The 20,540-nt window shown below is 37.5% G+C and overlaps 1 protein-coding gene across 28 annotated transcripts in view; it reads left to right on the top strand.

Moving 5' to 3' along the window:
- Nucleotides 1-20,540, top strand: part of LMBR1 (limb development membrane protein 1) — a 224,172-nt gene that overhangs the window by 145,523 nt on the left and 58,109 nt on the right. For 16 of the 28 annotated variants that reach the window (XR_007060136.1, XR_007060135.1, NR_146959.2 and 13 more), the window contains 3 exons: nucleotides 13,404-13,484; nucleotides 18,941-19,017; nucleotides 19,654-19,731. Coding sequence is in view for 18 of the 28 variants with exons in the window: in NM_001363412.2 (NP_001350341.1) it covers nucleotides 13,404-13,484; nucleotides 18,941-19,017; nucleotides 19,654-19,731 (236 nt within the window). In the remaining 10 variants the exon portion in view is untranslated. Of the gene's footprint in view, nucleotides 1-11,045; nucleotides 11,169-13,403; nucleotides 13,485-18,940; nucleotides 19,018-19,653; nucleotides 19,732-20,540 lie in introns of all 28 variants that reach the window. The other 12 variants (XR_007060131.1, XR_007060130.1, XR_007060132.1 and 9 more) reach the window with 3 other exon arrangements.

Genomic DNA, 20,540 nt, shown 5'->3' with positions numbered 1-20,540 from the left:
CAATCTGTTTATGTTAGAGGTATCTACTTCCAAATAGTACTCATTATGAGACTAAGTTTAGGACACTGAATTGTTTAGGGAGATAATTGTATTTCATCAATTATTTGAAGGGCTTGCAGATCTAATTGGAAATTTGTATTTGTTTTTAAAAATACATTTTATATTTTAAGTTAAATACTTAGTACCTCTCCTTTTATATATGAAGGCTGTCTTATATATTAAGAAAGTTGTAAGGACAGCTTAGTTATTGAATAAATACTGGACTTTGGGAAATTCTGTTATCTTGGAAGCAAAATATTTTTAATACCACACTAGTTTTTCAGCTTAAGAATAAAGCTGGGAAAAGTTGCCTTCAGCTATTAGTTTTCCTGAATCCAAAGAGACGGGTGGGGCAGGATCAAAAATACTTACTTGATCAAAGTTATTGGCTCTGAAGTTATTCTTACCTATGTAAGAAAGATGAAAGGTGTTGTTTTTATTGCATGTTAGTTAACAGTGTAATTTTGAACTAATTGGTGTTGAACTGCCAATCACCTAAGGGGAATGCAAATAGATACTCTTACAATTTCCTTTGAGGTAGTGAAATCTTATGTTGGGGCTGGAAGAAAAACAGAATAATACCATTAAATTGACCTTAAATGAGCTGCTTTGTGGTTTTCTTGGAGAATCCCTTTTTATTTCTTGTGACTTGTCTAAACAGGTTTTGTCTACCAGTTTGACTTATTGACTAGACAATGCTGACACTGGACATTTTAGATTCATTTGGAAATAAAGTAATGATAATGCAGTTCCTCGGGATATTTTAAATTTTTGGTATAACTTAAATCCACATAATGCCTCAGTATTTGTTTGCAGTATGTCATAATTTCTTACGATAGTCATTGTTTCCTTCTGGTCATTTATAATGAAATATTTACTCAAAAAAGCTTACATTTCTCCCTTAGGTATTGCTCTATTATAATAAAGAGTGGTCTTGTCCTTGAATAATGTGTCATCTCAGATGAATCTAGTCATTTAATAAAAGTATGATTTATTTGAGGACAACAAGAATGTAGTTTTGATTTTTATATGCAAGTCAGTCAGTATTTATTAATTACCTATTGTGTGCCTAGTGTTATATCACCTGCAAATAGAAGCACAGCATTTCAGAAATGCCATTTTAGTTATTTTCCTTTGAAGAATCATACATTGAGTGGTCTAGACATTTGTATTGAGCTCTGTAAACATACCCACAAAGTAGGCATTTTTGTCTTTTCACTTAATTTCAAATTGGCATCAGGAATACTTTCTATTCTGATGTCCATTCTCTTTTGAAATTCTAAATACTCATGAGCTTATTTTTTCTACCCTTCAGCTGGTTACCAGAATAATAAATCTTTGCATGAATGGGGAATGAATGTAGTTTGGAATTGTATTTCCAGTCAATGAGATATACAAGTTAAATGAGCATTAATTACAGATACACAGTTTAATTGATAAAGAATGGAGATAAAAGTAAAATATATTTATTACTAAGACTATTATGTAGTTTAAACTTTGATTCAAAGACACCTGAAAACCTTACAGAGCTGTGCTGTCTTTCTGTAAATCACATTATATGGAAATACTCATTCGTTATGTAACTTAATTGCTTCCCCCTTTGCTGTGGCTGCCAGAAACTCAAAACTAACTTTGTAATCAAAGTTTAGTAGCTTGTGTCACATTACCTGAATATTTCTGTACTAGCTTTATCCCTCCTCTCATAAATATATCAATTATATATTAACAAGTAAAGTGATAAAACTCATGAACTCTGAAAACACTATAAAACGTTTCAGTGGATTTGAGATCTCAGGTTCTTTGAAAGAGAGGGTATTCGATTGCTGTCTCTTCAGTGATGGGCAGAAGTGAGCAAGGAGCTGCAAAGGGAATGGGATTTACTTCTCCTAGAAACCTGGGATAAGACTGGAATTTTGTGATTCCCCAAAGGGGCTTAGAAAAAGAGGCCTCTGAATTCCCTTAGTGAGATTGCATTTGCCCCTGTGTTGCAAAGGTTTGTCTGATCTTGCTGGCCTTGCGTTGTTGTTCTGAATCCTCCTTTCAGTCTCTCCCTTTGAGAAAGGACCACTCTTTGCACCTAGAGAGACCCAGCGAGGTTTCCTCCTCCTAAATCAGTTTTTCTGGCCAGTTGGTCCCTAGCCCCTAGGAACATAATTGAATTGCTGTACCTTTTAGCTGGTTTGTCACTGTTTGAGGGAGTGTCTGACCTGATTAGAGATGAAGGGAACAACAGAGGTGGATAGAGAAAAATTACCAGTTGTTTAAGGTTCAGTGAAGAAGACCAAGATAGATATCTAGAACAAGTGGTTCCCACTTGAGTTAACAATTAATGGGAGAGACAAATAAGAATTCATACCTAATCCTCAAAAGTAGTAAGAATGTCCAAGGAAATGTCATTAGAACAGAAAAAGACTGATGCTGAGAACTTGAAAAAAATAAAAAGCTTAATAGACAAACAAAAAAAGAAATAGTCTTTGTGGTAGTCAGAATAATGGTTTCCTAAAGATGTCCAAGTCCTAATCCCCAGACCTTGTGAATATGTTACCTTACATGGCAAAGGTGACTTTGCATATGGGATGAAGTAAAGGATCTTGAGATTATTCTGGATTATGTAGTGGGCCCACTGTACTCACAAGAGTTGGTATAAGTGAAGGCTGAGATGGTCAGAGAAGGAGACATTGGTAATGGAAGAAGAGGTCGGAGTGACTCAAGGAAGGGACCATGAGCCAAAGAATGCAGGTGGCCCTCAAGGGCTAGAAAAGACAAGGAAATGATTTCTCCCCTAGAGTCTCCAGAAGGATTATAGTCCTGCTAACACTTTGATTTTAGGACTTCTCACTTCCAGAGCTGTAAGACAATAAATTTATGTTGTTTTAAGCCAGAAACTTTATGATAATTTGTAGCAGCAGCAGCAGCAATAGCATACTAATATAGTCCTTCAAAAATTGAATTAATCATCTTGCAGAATCAAGGGGAAGAACTATTTTGTGTCACACACCAAAAGTACAAAAAGAAGGAAAGTATTAATGAAAAATAGACGTGAAGTGCAGAGCTAAGATACTGAATGTAAATAATAGGCATCTAAAAGGAGAGAAAAGAACAAGTAGGAAAAGTAGGTAAATAAAAAATAGAAGAAAATATCAATGAGCTTAAGAAAGACTTGAGTTCAGGTTAAAAGGCCACACACTCCTAGGCAAGATTATTCAATAGAAAATCAAAAAGATTTGGATTTAGTTTGTAAGATTCCTGAATTCCAAGAACAATGGAAAAAAAAAAAAGCCCTTACAAACTTTCACATAGAAAAATTCCAGACAAAGAAGAGAGAGATCAACATCAAGCTTCCCATTTGCAACCTGCTACTGGTTGCTGAATAGTACCCATAGTTGTAAGGGAGGAATAAAGACTGCAGTTGAAAACTCAGCTGAGTGTGGCGGCACGCACCTGTAGTCCCAGCTACTCGGGAGGTGGGAGTATACGCTCGAGCCCAGAAGTTCGAGTCCAGCCTGGGCAGTAATATAAAGTGAGACCCTGTCTCTTAAAAAAAAAATTCATATATTCCCAAAGATGTCATTCATCTGTTATGCATTCCCTCATTTGTTCGTTTTATATCTGTATATTGAGCACCTAATTTGTGCCAAGCACTATTCTAACTTCCATATTGAAAGAAACATTTGGTAACAGTCTTGAACTAAATATTGTTAAAACTGTCGCAGCAAGATCCAGGAGTTGGGGGCATGGGTGGGCAGCAGTGAGAGAATGATTAAAGCGTTGTGAGAGCTTCACTTTGGTGTGGGGTAAGTTACTCAGAAAAGCATCCCTGTAGGGCTAGGACTGTGTGATGCTGATATTATAATGAAAAGTATATCTAAGTATGAGTATTAAAAATGTGAAAGTAACCATTGAACTGCCAAATTAACATGGGCAAAAAGGATAAACTAAAGTTTCACTAGCTGGGAAAGAAGAAAATGAAGAAATAAAGAACAAATATAATGAGCAGAAATTACAGAGTTACATAAAAAGAGAAAGAGCACCAGTCTTCCTGTCAACTTGAGGATGGCAGTACTTTTAGTCCCTTGATGTCACTGTTGAGCTGCTGGAAAATCCTCTTTGAAGTTTGCTCTGTGTCTAAACTTCTCATTATATGAAATTATTTCCTCATTTTTAAGCTACTTTGAGTTTAGTTTTCTGATTCAGTATATAGTGTCCTAATAGATACACCCCCTTTTACGGATGAAAACACTGAGGTTCAGAGAGGCATAAACCTAAAAAGATGAGAAGTTGAGAGGAGAAAATCACAATAAAATTTTGGAATTTAGAAGACCTGAGAAAATTTAGCGGACTTAAGTAACCAGTTTCACAGACCCAAGGAAGCTAAATCGTAAGTCATTTGTGCTTGATTTATAAATTTATACCCCAGAATCCCCAAAAGTCCCAAAAAGTGGCACCACCAGACGAAGTAGAGTGAGCTACTTCATAAGAGAATTGATTGGAAATCCTGTTTATATAATGGTTTGATTGCCACATCTTTTCGCTCCATCCAAGGTACCAATTTTCTAAAGGTTTGTATCATGAAGGGATGTTGAATTTTATCAAATGCTTTTCAGTATCAAATGAAATGATCATATGGTTTTTGTCCTTCATTCCATTGATATGATGTATCACATTGGTTGATTTGAATATGTTGAACCACCCTTGCATCTCGGATAAATCCAACTTCATCATGAATGATCTTTTTAATGTGTTGTTGAATTCGGTTTGCTAGTATTTTGTTGAGGACTTTTGCATCAATATTCATCAGAGATGTTGGTCTGTAGTTTGCTTTCTTTGATGTGTCTTGGTATCAGGGTATTACTGGCCCCTTAACAAGAGTTTGGAAGTATTTCCTCCTCCTCTGTTTTTCAGAGTAGTTTGAATAGGATTGGTATTAGTTCTTTTTTAAATGTTTGGTAGACTTCAGCAGTGAAGCCACCAGGTCCTGAGGTTTTCTTTATTGGGAAACTTTTTATTACAGGTTTGATCTCGTTACTTATTAATGGTCTGTTTAGGTTTTAGATTTCTTCGTGGTTCAATCTTGGTAGGTTGTATGTGTCTAGAAATTTGTCCATTTTTTTCTAGATTTTCCAGTGTATTGACATGTAATTACTCACAGTAACTACTAACCATCCTTTGAATTTCTGTGATGTCAGTTGTAATGTCTTCTTTTTCATCTCTGATTTTATTTGGATCTTCTCTTTTTTTTCTTGGTCTGGCTAAAGTTTTGTCAACTTTTCAAAACAACTTTTTGTTTCATTGATCTTTTGTATTCCTCATTTCAATTTTATTTATTTCTGCTTTGATCTTTATTATTTCTTTTATTAATTTTGGGTTTGGTTTAATCTTGCTTTTCTAATTCTTTAAGATGCATCATTAGATTATTTGAAGTTTTTTCTCTTTTTTTATATAGACACCTGTAGCTATAAACTTCCCTCTTAGTACTGCTTTTGCTGCATCCTGTAGGTTTTGGTATGTTGTGCTTCCATTATCATTTGTTTCAATAAAGTTTTCAATTTACCCCTTAATTTCTTCATTGACCCACTGGTGATTCAGGAGCATTTTGTTTAATTTCCATGTGTTTGTATAGTTTTGAAAATTCCTCTTGTTGATTTTTTGTTTTATTCCATTATGGCCAGAGAAGATACTTGACATTATTTCAATTTTTTGAATGTTTTAAGACTTCTGTTGTGACCTAACATATGGTCTGTCCTTGAGAATGATCCTTGTGCTGAGGAGAAGGATGTTTATTCTGATATCCATTAGATGAAATGTTCTGTAAATATCTATTAGGTCCATTTGTTGTACAGTACAGATTAAGTTTGATGTTTCTTTTTGATTTTCTGTTATTGGAAGATCTATCCAATGCTGAAAGTGGGGTGTTGAAGTCTCTAGCTGTTATTGTATTGAGGTATTTCTCTTTAGCTTTAATAATATTTGCTTTATATATCTGGATGCTCCATTGGTGCATATATCTTTACAATTGTTATACCCTTTTGCAGAATTGACCCCTTTATCATCATGTAGTGACCTTCTGTGTCTCTTCTTACATTTCTTGTCTTGAAATCTATTTTGTCTGATATAAGTATAGCTACTCCTGTACTTTTCTTGTTTGCATTAGCATGGAATATCTTTTTCTATGCCTTTATTTTCAATCTATTCGTATCTGTATAGGTAACGTGTATTTCTTTTAGGCAACAGATAATTGGGTTTTGCTTTTTTATCCATTGAATCACTATGTCTTTTGATTGGAGAGTTTAGTTCATTTACGATCAGTGTTATTATTGATAAGTAAGGACTTCCTCCTGCCATTTTGTTACTTCTTTTCTGGTTGTTTTGTATAGTCTTCTCTTCTTTCCTTCCTGTCTTCCTTTTAGTGAAAGTTATTTTCTCTGGTTGTAGGATTTAATTTCTTGCTTTTTATTTTTTGAGTATCCATTGTATGTTCTTCAATTTGATGTTATCATGAGGCATGCAAATACTATCCTATAACCCATATTTTAAACTGAGGGCAACTTAACACATTGCAAAAACAAACAAGCAAAAAGAAAACTAATACAGACTCTACACTTTAACTTCGTCCCCACACTTTTAAACTTTTTGTTGTTTCTTTTTATGTCTTACTGTACTGTCTATGTCTTGAAAAGTTGTTGTAGTTATTATTTTTGATTGGTTCGTCATTTAATCTTTCTACTTACGATAAGAGTAGTTTACACACCGTAATTACAGTGTTATAATATTCTGTGTTTTTCTGTGTTTACTTATATTACCAGTGAGTTTGTGTATCTTCAGGTGATTTCTTATGGCTCATTAACATTCTTTTCTTTCCTATTGAAGAACTCCCTTTAGCATTTCTTGTAGGACAAGTCTAGTGTTGATGAAATGCCTCAGCTTTTGTTTGTCTGGGAAAGTCTTTATTTCTCCTTCATGCTTGAAGGATATTTTCACCAGATATACTATTCTAGGGTGTAAGTGTTTTTCCCTCAGCACTTTATACATGTCATGCCACTCTCTCCTGGCCTGCAAGGTTTCCACTGAAAAGTCTGCTGCCAGGTGGATTGGAGCGCCATTGGATGTTACTTGTTTCTTTTCTCTTGCTGCTTTTGGGATCCTTTCTTTATCCTTGACCTTTGAGAGTTTGATTATTTGAGGTAGTTGTCTTTGAGTTAAATCTACTTGGTGTTCTATAACCTTCTTGTTCTTAAATGTTGATATCTTTCTGTAGGTTTGGGAAGTTCTCTAATATTCTCCCTTTGAATAAACTTCCTACCTCTCTCTCTTTCTCTGCCTCCTCTTTGCTGCCAATAACTCTTAGATTTGCTCCTTTTAGGCTATTTTCTAGCTATCGTAGGCATGCTTCATTCTTTTTGATTCTTTTTTCTTTTGTCTCCACTATGTATTTTCAAACAGCCTGTCTTCAAGCTCACCAGTTCTTTCTTCTGCTTGATCAGTTCTGCTATTAAGAGACTGATGCATTCTTCAGTTTGTCAGTTGCATTTTTCAACTCTACAATTTCTGCTTGATTCTTTTTTATTATTTCAATCTCTTTGTTAAATTTATCTGATAAAATTCTGAATTTCTTCTCTGTATTATCTTGAATTTCTTTGAGTTTCCTCAAAACAGCCATTTTGAATTCTGTCTGAAAGGTTATATATTTCTCTTTCTCCAGGATTGGTCCCTGGTGCCTCATTTAGTTTGTTTGGTGAGGTCATGTTTTCCTGGATGGTCTTGACGCTTGTGGATATTCGTCAGTGTCTGGGCATTGAAGAGTTAAGTATTTATTGTAGTCTTCACAGTCTGGGCTTGTATGTGCCTGTCTTTCTTGGGAAGGCTTTCCGGATATTCAAAGGAACTCGGCCCTCAAGCCCAATAATGCTGTGGTTCTTGCAGACGAATGCCTCAGTGGGTTTAGATAAGATCCAGAAGAATTCTCTGGATTACCAGGAAGAGACTCTTGTTTTCTTCCCTTACTTTCTCCAAACAAATGGCATCTCTGTGTGCTGAGCTTCCTAGAGCTGAGTTGGGGTGATGCAAGCACTCCTGTGGCCACCAACACTGGGACTACGCTGGGTGAGACCTGAGGCCAGCACGGCACTACGTCTCACTCAAAGCCCACTGTAAACACTGCTTGGCTACTGCCTGTGTTCTCTCAAGGCCCTAGGGCTCTACGATTAGTAGTGGGGGAAGCCAGCCAGGTTTGTGTCCTAACCTTCAGGGTGAAAAGTTCCCTCAGACCCAGGGCAGGTCCAGAGATGCTGTCTGGGAGGCAGAGTTTGAAGTCAGAAACTTTAGAAATCTAGTTGGTGTTCTGTTTTACTGCAGCTAAACTGACCCTCAAACCATAAGACAAAGACCTTCCTATTCTTCCCTGCTCCTGCCACTGCCAGCCCATGGGGAGTTCTGCCAGGCCACTGCCAGTGGTCACTTAATGTCCAGAGGCTCTGCAGTCAGCTTGTAGTGAATGTTGCCAGGCCTGGGACTCACCCTACAGGGTAGTGGGCTCCCCTCTGTCCCAGGGCAGGTCTAGAAATGCTGTTCAATAGCCTAGGCCTGGTTTCGGGGGCCCCAAGAGCCCACCTGATACTCTACCCCACTGTGGCCAAGCTAGTACCTAAGCTGCAAGACAAAGTACTCTTTACTTTTCCTTCTGCTTTTCTCAAGCAGAAGGAGTCTTTCAGTGTAGCCACCACAGCTGGGAATATGCTGCATCAGACCTGAAGCCAGCATGTCTCAGAGTCTTCCCAAGCAAGGCCCATGGCATACTAGCTATATGTCACTCCTGGATCTTTGGGGCCCAAGGGCTCTTTAGTCAGTAGGTGATGGATCCTCCCAGAACTGAGTCCCCCACTTCAAGGTAGCAGGTTCCCTTCTGGCCCAGGGTGTGTCTAGAAATGTCATCCAGAAGCTAGGGCCTAGAATGGGGCCCTCATGACTGTGCCCAGTACCCTATTGTACTGTGGCTGAGCTGGTATCCAAAATGCAAGACAAAGTTCTCTTTACTTTCCTCTCTTCGAGCAGAAGGAAGGAGTCACTTTCCTTGCTGTGAGCTCTGCTGCCTGGGGTTGGTGGAGAGGTGGTGCAACCTCTCCCTTAGCCACTGTGTCTGGTACATGCTGCCCTAGTCCACTGGCTCTAAGCCCAGCCCAGCAGCAGGACTTGCCTAGGAATTGCAGTTCTTGTGTCCTAGACTGCTTTTCAAGTTTACTTAGGACCCCAGAGCACTGTAGCCCGTTGTGGTGAGGCTTGCTGAGAAGCTCAAGTTTTGACCACTGGGATGGGGAATTTCTTTCTGGCTAGGGCTGGTCCACATGCTCCTTCTGTGGGCATGCAGTGGTTGAGCCCAGCACAGCTTTACTGTCTGCTGTGACAGGGCAGCATTGGTGCAATTCTATGTCCCCCATTTGTTGTGCTCTCCCTCCCCCAAGTACACAGATTCTCTCTCCACACTACACGGCCGCTGCTGGGGGATGGAAGAGGGGTTGGCATCGGCAGTTCAAGGCTGTCTTTTCTACCCTCTTCAGTGCCTCTTTCAGGTGTATGAAGTTAAAACCAGGTACTGTGAGTGCTCACCTGGTTTTTAGTTCTCATGACAGTGCTATTTTGTATGTAGTTGTTAAAATTTGGTGCTTCTGCAGCAGGGACAATCGGTAGAGGCTTCTATTTGGTCATCTTGCTCCGCCCTCCTACTGCTTCAGTCTTAAATATGAGCAGACAACTAAGGCTCACCACATATCCAAGGAAAGCCTCCCATATGCATCAAACAGGAGAGCTTGGAGGAGATGAAATATGCATGGGAGAAGAATGTCTCAAAACAAATCCGTCAATATCCTGGCAGAGATAGAGATGACATTCATGAGAAAGACCAGGTTCCATAAAAATGGGATATTCAGTGAGCAGAAAAGGATCCTTGAAATTTAGAAATAACATAGCAAAAAGATTAGAAGATAAAGAACTTTTACAGAAGATAGGTCAAAATGGCAAAAATAGGTAAAATAGGAGAGAATAGTTAAGAATATTAGAGAACCAGCTCAGGAGATCCAGTGTCCAACTTAGAGGAGTTCCAAATTGAGGAGAGAAAATGTGGTGGAGGAAATGACAAAATGAAGATTTCCCAGATCTAAAGGACATGAATTTGGAGATTGAAAGGGATCATCTAGTGCCCAACACAGTACATGAAAATGGACTCTCATCAAGAACACTGGGGACAAAGATCCTACATAGTTTAAAAGGGAAATGACAAGCAGCTCACATTCAAAAAGACAGGAATAAGAATAGCTTCAGACTTCTCAAAAGCAAATCTAGAAGCAGGAAGACAATGAAGCAATGCCTTCAGAATTCTGAAGGAGAATTAGTTTTGACCTTGATTTTTTATACTTAATCAAACTATAATGTAAGAGCAAAGGTACAGTATTCAGACTTGTATAGTCTTTAAAAATTTACCTCACATTCACCTTTTCTTAGCAAGCCACTGGAGGATACACACCATCGAAGCAAGGGAGTAAATCAAGAAAAGATACGGGCTGCGTAGGAAACAAGAGATGCTCCACAGGAGACGCGGGCAGGCAGTCCCGGGGTGAAAGGGTGCAGGAGGCACAGAGGGCAGTCCATCTGGGGTGGGCAGGTCTAAAGACACTGGGGGAAATTTCTTCAAGAGAGTGAAGTTGATAGTATAACTGAGGAATAGAAAAACCAGGAGAAAATAAAGACCTTTGGCAGGATGTTTTGGGTTTGAATTTGTGTTAAGTACATAGAAAATTAAGTAAAAGAAAAATTATTGCTAATTCTAGGGGTGGGAAGAATGTTAAGGAAAGAAGGAAAGCTGGTCATAGTTTGCTATGTGGATAGGCATTTTGGTTGTTATAATAATGTAGACATTGAATATCAATCTAGCTAAAATGAGCATTATGGCCATATTGAGAGAAAGGGAGGAGTGAAGAGGTGTGTGGCTCAGACACTTGTGTCCTCACCTGCCACAGTGGGAATGCTTTGTGCGGGAAATCCAGAAGTTGCAACAGGAAGACAAGTGCCAGAAGAACAAGCTGGACAGCTACTTTTGGGAAAATGGATTCAGGAGGGAGGAGACATGATAGCAAACCCACGTATGTGTTTGACACTTTGAGCTATGTGCATGCTTCATCTTGATAAAGATAAAACCTTTAAAAAAATCACTTAAGTAGTATAGAAAGTATAAAATAAAGTTTATCAGCTATTATACTAAATAATGAATGCAAGCTCTATATTTTACTAAGTGTAAATGGGCTGAATTTGACTGTTAAAGAACAGTTTATCAGATTGGATTATTCAACCTGTATTTATCATTTTTGCTACAAGCATCTATTGCCCTTTCTTCTAGTAAAGTACCTGATTTGGATTTGCGGATTTCCCCGGTTAGATGAGATTGGCAGAACTGCTCATCAAAGTTCACGGCTCTCCAAGAAACTGACATGTGACTCTAAGCTATGCCATTAGGACGTCTGCTTCCTAGACTTTTATTCTTCCTCATAGTGACATACAGACTGGGAGTACTCGGGACTGAGTCATCCCAGCTATTACAATATGAGGAAACTGTCCATCTGTTCTGCCACCTGGACCTCTTCGCTACCCATTTGCTCTACTTTCTTTACTGGAAAATTTTCCTACTGGTTCTATCTTACGAATTCCTTTTCTGTTTTAACTAGTGAGTCTATTTCAGTTGCCTATAGCCAATGAACTCTAACTGATACAGTTGAAACCTCCAATAAGATTCAGCTGGATAAGAGAAAAAGAAAGATTAAAATGAAAGGTGTGTGTATAAATGTATGTAAGTAAGCAAGCAAGATAGGTAAAAACAAAAAGAAAGCAGAACTTAAAATCCACAAAACAGAATTTAAGTTGAAAGGCATTAGAAACAAACAGGGTCATTATGAAATGATAAAATATATGATTCATAAGGAAGATGTAACAGTCTAGGATGAAAAACAAAAACAAAAACAAAAAAACCCTAGCAAACAGAACCTCCCAGTCTCAGCAGTCAAATACAATTGCATAATGAAAAAAAAAAAAACACCACTCTTAAAAACTGAGAGAACTTAAAGTACAGTTGTAGTGGGTATTTTAATTTCTCTGTTTCAGAATTTAACAGGTAAAATATAAAGAATACGAAGATCCACCATTAGAGAAACAAGCAGAAAACAGGAATAGGGAAAATTCAGGTGATAAATGCATAGAAATATGTCCAACCACATTTAGGGAAATGCATGTTAAAGTAACAGGAAGAAAACATTTTCCACCCATCACATTGGTAGAATTCAAGAGTTATAACATCCAGTGCTGAAGACGATACTGGAAAATAGATACTTTCAAAGCTATTGATAGAAATGTAAATTATTACAATAGTTTAAGTTATTACAATATTTGGGGGAAGTAACCTTCTATAAATGTTCATACCCTACTCAGCAATCTAAGTTTTGGGAATCTGTCTTACAGAAATAATTAGAACCAAAATGTACTGGATGGGCATACAAGAATGTTTATTGCAACACTGTTTCTAGTGGCAAAAAGTTGAAAACTTGAATATGTGTAAAGGGAATAAAGTTGTAGTACATCTGTACTATGGAATGTTATTCAGCTGTCAACTTGGACATATAATTGACTAGGAAAGCAAATGGTAAAGTAATAGGTCTGACCCCATTCGTGTAAAACATGTAATAAAAACCATGCATATGATACATATGTATGTGTGAATGTGCTTCTGAATGTGAAGAAAGGTATGGAAGCATCAGCCAAGCTGTTCACAATTGTCATTTTAAGGAGGTGAGATAGAGAAGAGAAGATCTTGATTTTTTTCACTTTCTATAGTAAGCCCAAGTTGCTTTTGTAATTAAGAAAAGATTATTAATAGATCAAATTAGAACTTTACCACGTTAAGAAATTTTCTAGGAAACATGTAGCATTTATTTTTAATATTCTTATTTCAATAGGTTTTGTGGTACTGGTGGTTTTGGGTTACATGGATGTATAGTGGTGTGATCTGAGATTTTAATGTACCCATCACTGGAGTAGCATACGTTGTACCCAATATGTCGTTTTTTATCCCTTGCCTCCATCCCAACCCTCTCCCTTCTGACTCTCCATAGTCCATTATATCACTCTGTGGAAACGTGTAGTGTTTAATCAGCAAGAAGTTTTAATTGGTAAATATATGGATGTGCTTTCCTCTGAATCACAGCAACATTTCTTGTTATTTTTGATTAGCAGGATTTGCCATGTGTTATTTTAGATTTTAATTAAAGGGCTACCTGTTCTATAGTGTTAGGGGTTCTGTTTTACTTCTAAATATTTTTTGCTTTGAACAGGGCTGTCTTCATCGGTGGAATACAACATAATGGAGTTGGAACAAGAACTTGAAAATGTAAAGACTCTTAAGACAAAATTAGGTATTGTACTTTTTTTTTCTTGACTTGTGTATTGGCCTTGGTTTCTTATTAAAGACTTTACTGTAGTCTGAAATATTAGAAAATTTATGAAATCTTTATGTTAAAACTTTTGACCTGCCCAAAATCATTAATAAAGACTATCTTACAGTTTGGGGAGAGGATAAGTTTACATTTATTCACTTTTTTTGGTTTTATATATATACAAAATGACTTTTCAAAGGTTCACAGGTTCAAAGATGTTGCTCCATTGCCTTCTCACTTGCATTATTTCCAACAAGTCATCTGTCATACTTATCTTTTAATGTGTCTTTTTTCTGTATCTGCTTTTAAGATGTCTTTATTGTTGATTTTGAACAATTTGATTGTGATACGCCTCAGAGTAGTTTTCTTCATGCTTCTTAGAGCTAGGAGGTTATAGTTTTCAACTAATTTGGAAATTTTTTGACCATTACTTCTCCAAATATTTTTTCTTTTCCCCTCATGCTTCCCTTTTCAGGGACTCCAGTTACATGTATTTTAGGCTATAGCTGAAGGATGTTCCTTTATTTTTCAGTTTTTTTCTTGCTGTATTTCATTTTGATTAGCGTCTATAGCTGTGTCTTCACTTTCACCAATCTTGTGCATGTCTAATCTGCCTTTAATCTCATCTAGTGGTTTTTGCTTTTTTTTTGTTTTTCTACCATCTGCAGTTTTCATCTCTGGGGGCCTGTTTGGGCCTGTTTTGTATCTTCTATTATGTCTCTAACACGTTCAATCTGTGTCCTCCCTCTTTGTGAAAATATAGAATATAGTTATGACAACACTTACAATGTTTTTGTCTGCTACTTCTAACATTTGTGTTAGTTCTTGATATGTTTTGATTGATTGATTTTTTTACCTCATAATCACTGGTATTTTCGTGCTTCTTTGCATGCCTGGAAACTTTTGATTAGAAAATAGGTATTTTGAATTTTACCTTGTCAGGTGAGATTTTACCCTTGTTGGGTGCCTCACTTATAGTATTTCTTTTTGTTTTGTTTTGTTTTGTTTTTTAAGACAGAGTCTCACTCTGTCGCCCAGGCTAGAGTGCAATGGTGCGATCTCAACTCACTGCAACCTCCGCCTCCCCGGCTCATGTGATCCTCCCACTTCAGCCTCCTGAGTAGCTGGGACCACAGGTGCATGCCACCACAGCTTGCTAATTTTTTGTGTTTTTGGTAGAGTTGGGGTTTTGCCATGTTGGCCATGCTGATCTCAAACTCCTGGGCTCAAGTGTTCTGCCCACGTCAGCCTCCCAAAGTACTGGGATTACAGGCATGAGCCACGATGCCTGGCCACTTATAGTAGCTGTGTAAGTGAGGAACTTTGTTCTGAAATGTAGTTAAGTTACTTGGAAACAGTTTGATATTATTGTATCTTGTTCTGAAGACTTTTTAGGCTGGACCAGGGGATCATTGCCTCTAGGGTTAAGTATTCCCCACTGCTCAGGCAAGACCCTTCCACAGATTCTATCCAATGTCCTGTGATTGATGACATTCTGTACTGTCTTGTGGAAGAAGCAACTATTTTTGGCCTTTTGTGATTGTTGAGTGCTGTTTCTTTTCATATTTTGGGGTGGTTCTTTCTTTAGCCCTGGGTTGTTTCTTCACATGCCTGAGCCGATATACTTGAGAATTTTTTATGAATTCTTTACTGAATACTCAAGGGTGACTCTTTGCAGATCCTTGGAGTTCTTTTTCTGTGCTTCAGTCTCCTGTCTGGCACTTTGCTGCACAGACTCCAGCTGACATAGTCTCCCCAGATTCCCATTTCATGCTCTCAACTCAAGGGATGAGCTGGGCTCAGCTTGTGTTCCTCCTTCCTGCATCACGGCCTGGAAACTCTCAAGACAGTAAGCTGGGTCAGAAAGGGCTTGTGTGGTTTGTTTCCTGTGTCTCAGGCATCATTGTTCTTCCACGATCAGATGTCCAGTGTCTTGAAAACTGTTGTTTCATTATCTGTGTACTTTTTGGTTTCTTAATTGTTTCAAGCTGGATGACACACCTGGTCCCTGTTGTTGCCGCAGCTTCAGAAGTGGAAGTCCAGTGTTATGTTCTTGAAAATCAAATACGATGTTCATTTATTTTCATTTCTGTTAATAATATTTCCTGAAGTTACTTCAGTCATCCTGCTGTTGGTGGATATTAGATTTGCTTCTAGTTTTTTGCTGTTACAAATAATGTTGTTATAATCATTCTGGTATGTAACTCTTGGTATATATGTTTTTTCAGGGTACATACTAGATATGGAATTACAAGATCATTGTATATGTGCCTGTGCAACTTTTGTAGATAAAGCCAAATAGTTTTCTCACATAGTTGTATTAGTTTGCATTCCTGCTGGGCATGAGTATTATACTTGACAATGTTGGACTTTAAAATTTTTACTGACTTAGTGGATGTGAAGTGGTGTTTCTTTGGTATTCTAATTCATATGTTCCTGATTTGTATTTTTATTTTTACATTTCTAATGTTCATTTAGCTTCTGTTTGAAAAACACAGGTTTGCTGGCAATAGATTCTGTCAGTTTTTGTTTATTGGAAAACATACTAAAAATTTTTGTTTGGTAGCTATCAGCATTGGAAAGATGTTGTTCTACTGTCTTCTGGTTTCTTGTTAAAAGTCATGTTGTTGCTCTTTCAAAGGGCTTTAAAGATTTTCCTTTTGTCTTTGTTTAGCAATTTTACTCTGATATGCTTAGATTTGGTTTTCTTTGTATTTATCTTTCTTGAAATCTATGTGTCACTTCATGATACTGTGGCTTGATGTCTTTTATCTATTTGGGAAAATCTTGGCCATTGTCTTATCAGATATTGCTTCTGCTCCATTCTCTCTTATTTCCTTAGGCTGCAGTTACACACATGCTAGGCTTTTTCATTCTTATATTCTTTTCTGTATTTATCTCCTTTTTATCTTCATGCTTCAGTCTGATATTTTCTCCTGGTCTGTCTTCCATTTTGCTTTCTTTCAGCTATGTCATAACTATTGTTAAAACTATTGAATTCTTCACTTTAGTTACATTATTTTTCAGTTCTAGATTTTCTGTTTATTTTTTATAGATTTAAATTTACTTGCAAAATTTTCCATTTATCACTTATTTTATTGAATATGTTAATCATTTATTTTAAAGCATCTTTCTGATAAATCCAATACATGGATCACCTGGAGGTCTGTTTCCATTGTCTTTTTTTTTCCCTCTTTTTCCATTTATTTATTTATTTATGAAATGGAGTTTCGCTCTTGTTGCCCAGGCTGGAGTGCAGTGGCCTGATCTCAGTCCACTGCAACCTCCACCTCATGGTTCAAGTGATTCTCTTGCCTCAGCCTCCCGAGTAACTGGGATTACAGGTGCATGCCACCATGCCTGGCTAATTTTTTGTATTTTTAGTAGAGACGGGGTTTTACCATGTTGGCCAGGCTGGTCTCAAACTCTTGACCTCGTGATTGGCCTGCCTTGGCCTTCCAAGTCCTGGGATTACAGGCGTGAGCCACCGTGCCTGGCCTCTTTTTCCCATATCTGGTAATGTTTAATTGAATGCCAGATATTTCTTATACAAAACTATAGAAACTCTGCATGGTGTTTTCTTCTTTTTGGGAGGATGTACTTTTGCTTCTGGTAGACAGTTACGGTAGGGACGTATCAGTCTAATCCATTAGGCTTGAGATCATTCAAGGCCAGGCTTCAGTCTTTATGACGACCGGTCCATTTCCACTTTGTCCTTCCTTCATACTAGGATATAGCTTTTCATTGGTCCTAATTGAAAGCCTAGTTCATTAGTTATTGACTATGACCTCATTTTCTTAATGAATTTTAGTTTTTACCTCTCAAGAAACATGAGCCTGACAGAAGCTTTGCTTGGCTTCTCAGCCTCATAGTTGCATCTTTCTGTTGTTCTTCTTGGCCTCTTAGCCACTGGTGTCTTGAAGGGAAAGTGGCACTGTCTGCCAGGTTCACTTCTTTGCCCTTTTCTTTTCTGTATGATCATAGCCTCTCAAGTTTTGACTGCATTGGTAGCCCCAAATGCCAATGTCTGTCCTCTTGGCTCTGTTGAGTTTGCTGAAAGGTTTGCTTTAGAATCATTGCCTTTTACCCATTGATTTCTCACCCTCTTGGGTCCATGCCATTTATATATTGGGAAATGTCTTGCAGAAGAAGGTGTAGTACAAATTGGAGGTCTTAGCTCAGTTTACTTCACAGAATATTGGCCCCTCAATTTTCATTGTCTTGATAGCTCTCTGATACGTTCATACAGATTTTTTAAAAATTAAGTTTGATTTATCTTTTCTTCTTGTTCTTAGCATGAGGATTGGTGTTATAGGTAAAAGTAGAAGTTTGCTTCCAGCCTTTAGAAAACTAGAAGTGCTTATCTTTGGGAAAATAGAAGGGGGCTGGGCGCAGTGGCTCACGCCTGTAATCCCAGCCCTTTGGGAGGCCGAGGTGGGTGGATCACGAGGTCAGGAGATCGGGACCATCCTGGCTAACATGGTGAAACCCTGTCTCTACTAAAAATACAAAAAATTAGCCGGGCTTGGTGGCATGTGCCTGTAGTCCCAGCTACTTGGGAGGCTGAGGCAGGAGAATCACTTGAACCCGGCAGGCAGACGTTGCAGTGAGCCGAGATTGTGCCACTGCACTCCAGCCTGGGAGACAGAGCGAGACTCCATCTCAAAAAAAAAAAAAAAAGAATAGAAGGGATTTTTATTCATATAACTTTATTCATTCAGATATATATATATATATCAATATGTAGATCTATATGAAATACAAATATAGCCCTCAGTATTCGTGGGGGACTGGTTTCAGAACCCCCATGGGTACCAAAATCCACATATGGTAGAAAATTATTGCAGAACCTGTGGCTATAGAAGGCCTACTGTATGTCTGTATTTTCAGAGTCAGCTGTATATCAACAATATATTTCCTTAATGATTGAGATGTCTTCACAGAGCTGAAATTTACGCATCACAGGATTGAGGTGTTTAATGTAGCAAACTGGTTTTAAAACTCTGATTTTTGTCTGGGTATCGTAGTTCGTGCCTGTAATCTCACCATGTTAGGAAGCTGAGCGGGGAGGATCGTTTGAGCCCAGGAGTTCAAGACCAGCCTGGGCAACATAGCAAGAACCTGTCTCCACAAAAAATAAATAAAAAAATTAGCCAGGCATGGTGGCATGTATCTGTAGTCCCAGCTACTTGGGTGGTTGAGATGGGAGGATCACTTGAGCCTAGGAGGTTGCAGTGAGCTGCGGCTATACCATTGTGCTCTAGCCTGGGTGACAGAGCAAGGCCCTATCTGTAGTTTTTTTAGTTTATGGAGGAAAATTAAAAGTAATTTATGTTTTTTAAAAAGAAATTATGTATAAAACAGATTATAGCATTATGGAAGGAAAATGTTAATTTGGAGAAAACTTTGTTTTATTTTGTTTTTCCTTTTAATAGAGAGGCGAAAAAAGGCTTCAGCATGGGAAAGAAATTTGGTGTATCCCGCTGTTATGGTTCTCCTTCTTATTGAGACAGTAAGAATTTATTTGCCTAGTTAAATAAAAGCAAATTATATTTTATTTACTTCAGCATTTGAGTATGGCAGCTCCCTCAGCTAAATGGTTTTTCATAAACTAGTTTTCTATCAACAGGATTAAAATCCATCTATGCCTTTATTTATGAAAATCCAATAAAGCAAAAATGGAAATTAATGGCAATTTAAAAAAAATTCTGAAGATTATCTGTTTCTTCATGAAAGCAGGAAATTCAGTCTTTGTTTTCATTGAAAATTAAGAAAACAAGGTGTTGCAGATAACCTGCTTTAAATTCTGTGATAAAATATGAAAATTACATTATGAAGTTAGTTCTGATAATATTTTACCACTTTTTTAAGTCTGTGGAGTTGTGTGTTTCCAATTGGTGAGATCACTTAGTAAAAGGATCTATATACTACCAGCTTTTGTCACAAGCTTTGAAATGACAATAACTTGCAGAATCTTTTAGAATTTCTTCAGTTCTTGTTTGTAGTCTGATTACTTTAGTTTTATATATAGCGTTTTGGTCTTGACTGCTTTCCCTCTATTCTGAAACGTGTATTTGGTTACCTAGATTTTAATATTTTGTATTGGTGAAAAATCTTGAGAGCTGACAGTTTGCTGTTTGTCTTGTAGTCCATCTCGGTCCTCTTGGTGGCTTGTAATATTCTTTGCCTATTGGTTGATGAAACAGCAATGCCAAAAGGAACAAGGGTAAAGTAAAATCCTTTAAAATGTCTTTCTTTTGCAAAAGTATTCTATGTCTATACCCTGAGTATTTCAAGTAAGCAAATGAAAACATTCACCTTTGTGCATGTATATACTTCAAGTTGTATGAATTTCTTTATGCAAAGAGCCTTTAAAATATAAACTGTGATTTTTGTTTCTAATTTTTTACTTTGGATTGACAGGGCCTTTTTTCAAGTGTTGGAATTTCCTTTTAGATTTCTTATCAGAGTTTATCTTGATTTTACTGAAATTCATTTAGCTATATGAAATTCCTTTAGCCATAGTCTTGATTCAGATCCCCCCACCTGAGTCTTTCCAGGACCTTGTGCCATCTGTTATTGCCATTGTTGTATTCACTTACAGCCTCTTCTCCATGAGTACAAGCCCACCATCATGCTCCAGGTGCCTCATCCTACAGACAGACAAGAAACTACCCTTTGCCATGTACAGTCTTATCTTTTTCTTTAGTTTTATACCCAAACCCACTGATAGAACAGGAAGTCGCTTACTATACTGACTTCCTAGTCACTTTTAACCCATTTTACTATACCAACAAAACAAGTCCCAAGCCCTATAGTATATTTTTGTACCCATCCCCCTTAGTGCTTAGTGGAGAATGACTTGTACGTCATAGGAGATCCCTGTATAATTGTGTAAAAAAATTAGATACTCTTAATCCTTCCTACATGGCTTCTCTTGAGATAGCATAATTCCAAAGTATTATCTCTGTTGATCAATAAGCTTCTGTAGGGGAGAAGAAGTAATACCTTTTTCTAACCTATTGGAAGGTTCAT

This window comes from Homo sapiens, chromosome 7 (assembly GCF_000001405.40).
Source record: "Homo sapiens chromosome 7, GRCh38.p14 Primary Assembly".
Lineage (NCBI taxonomy): Eukaryota > Metazoa > Chordata > Mammalia > Primates > Hominidae > Homo > Homo sapiens.
Note: the sequence above shows the minus strand (reverse complement) of the source record. Positions and strands in the feature narration are given on the sequence as shown.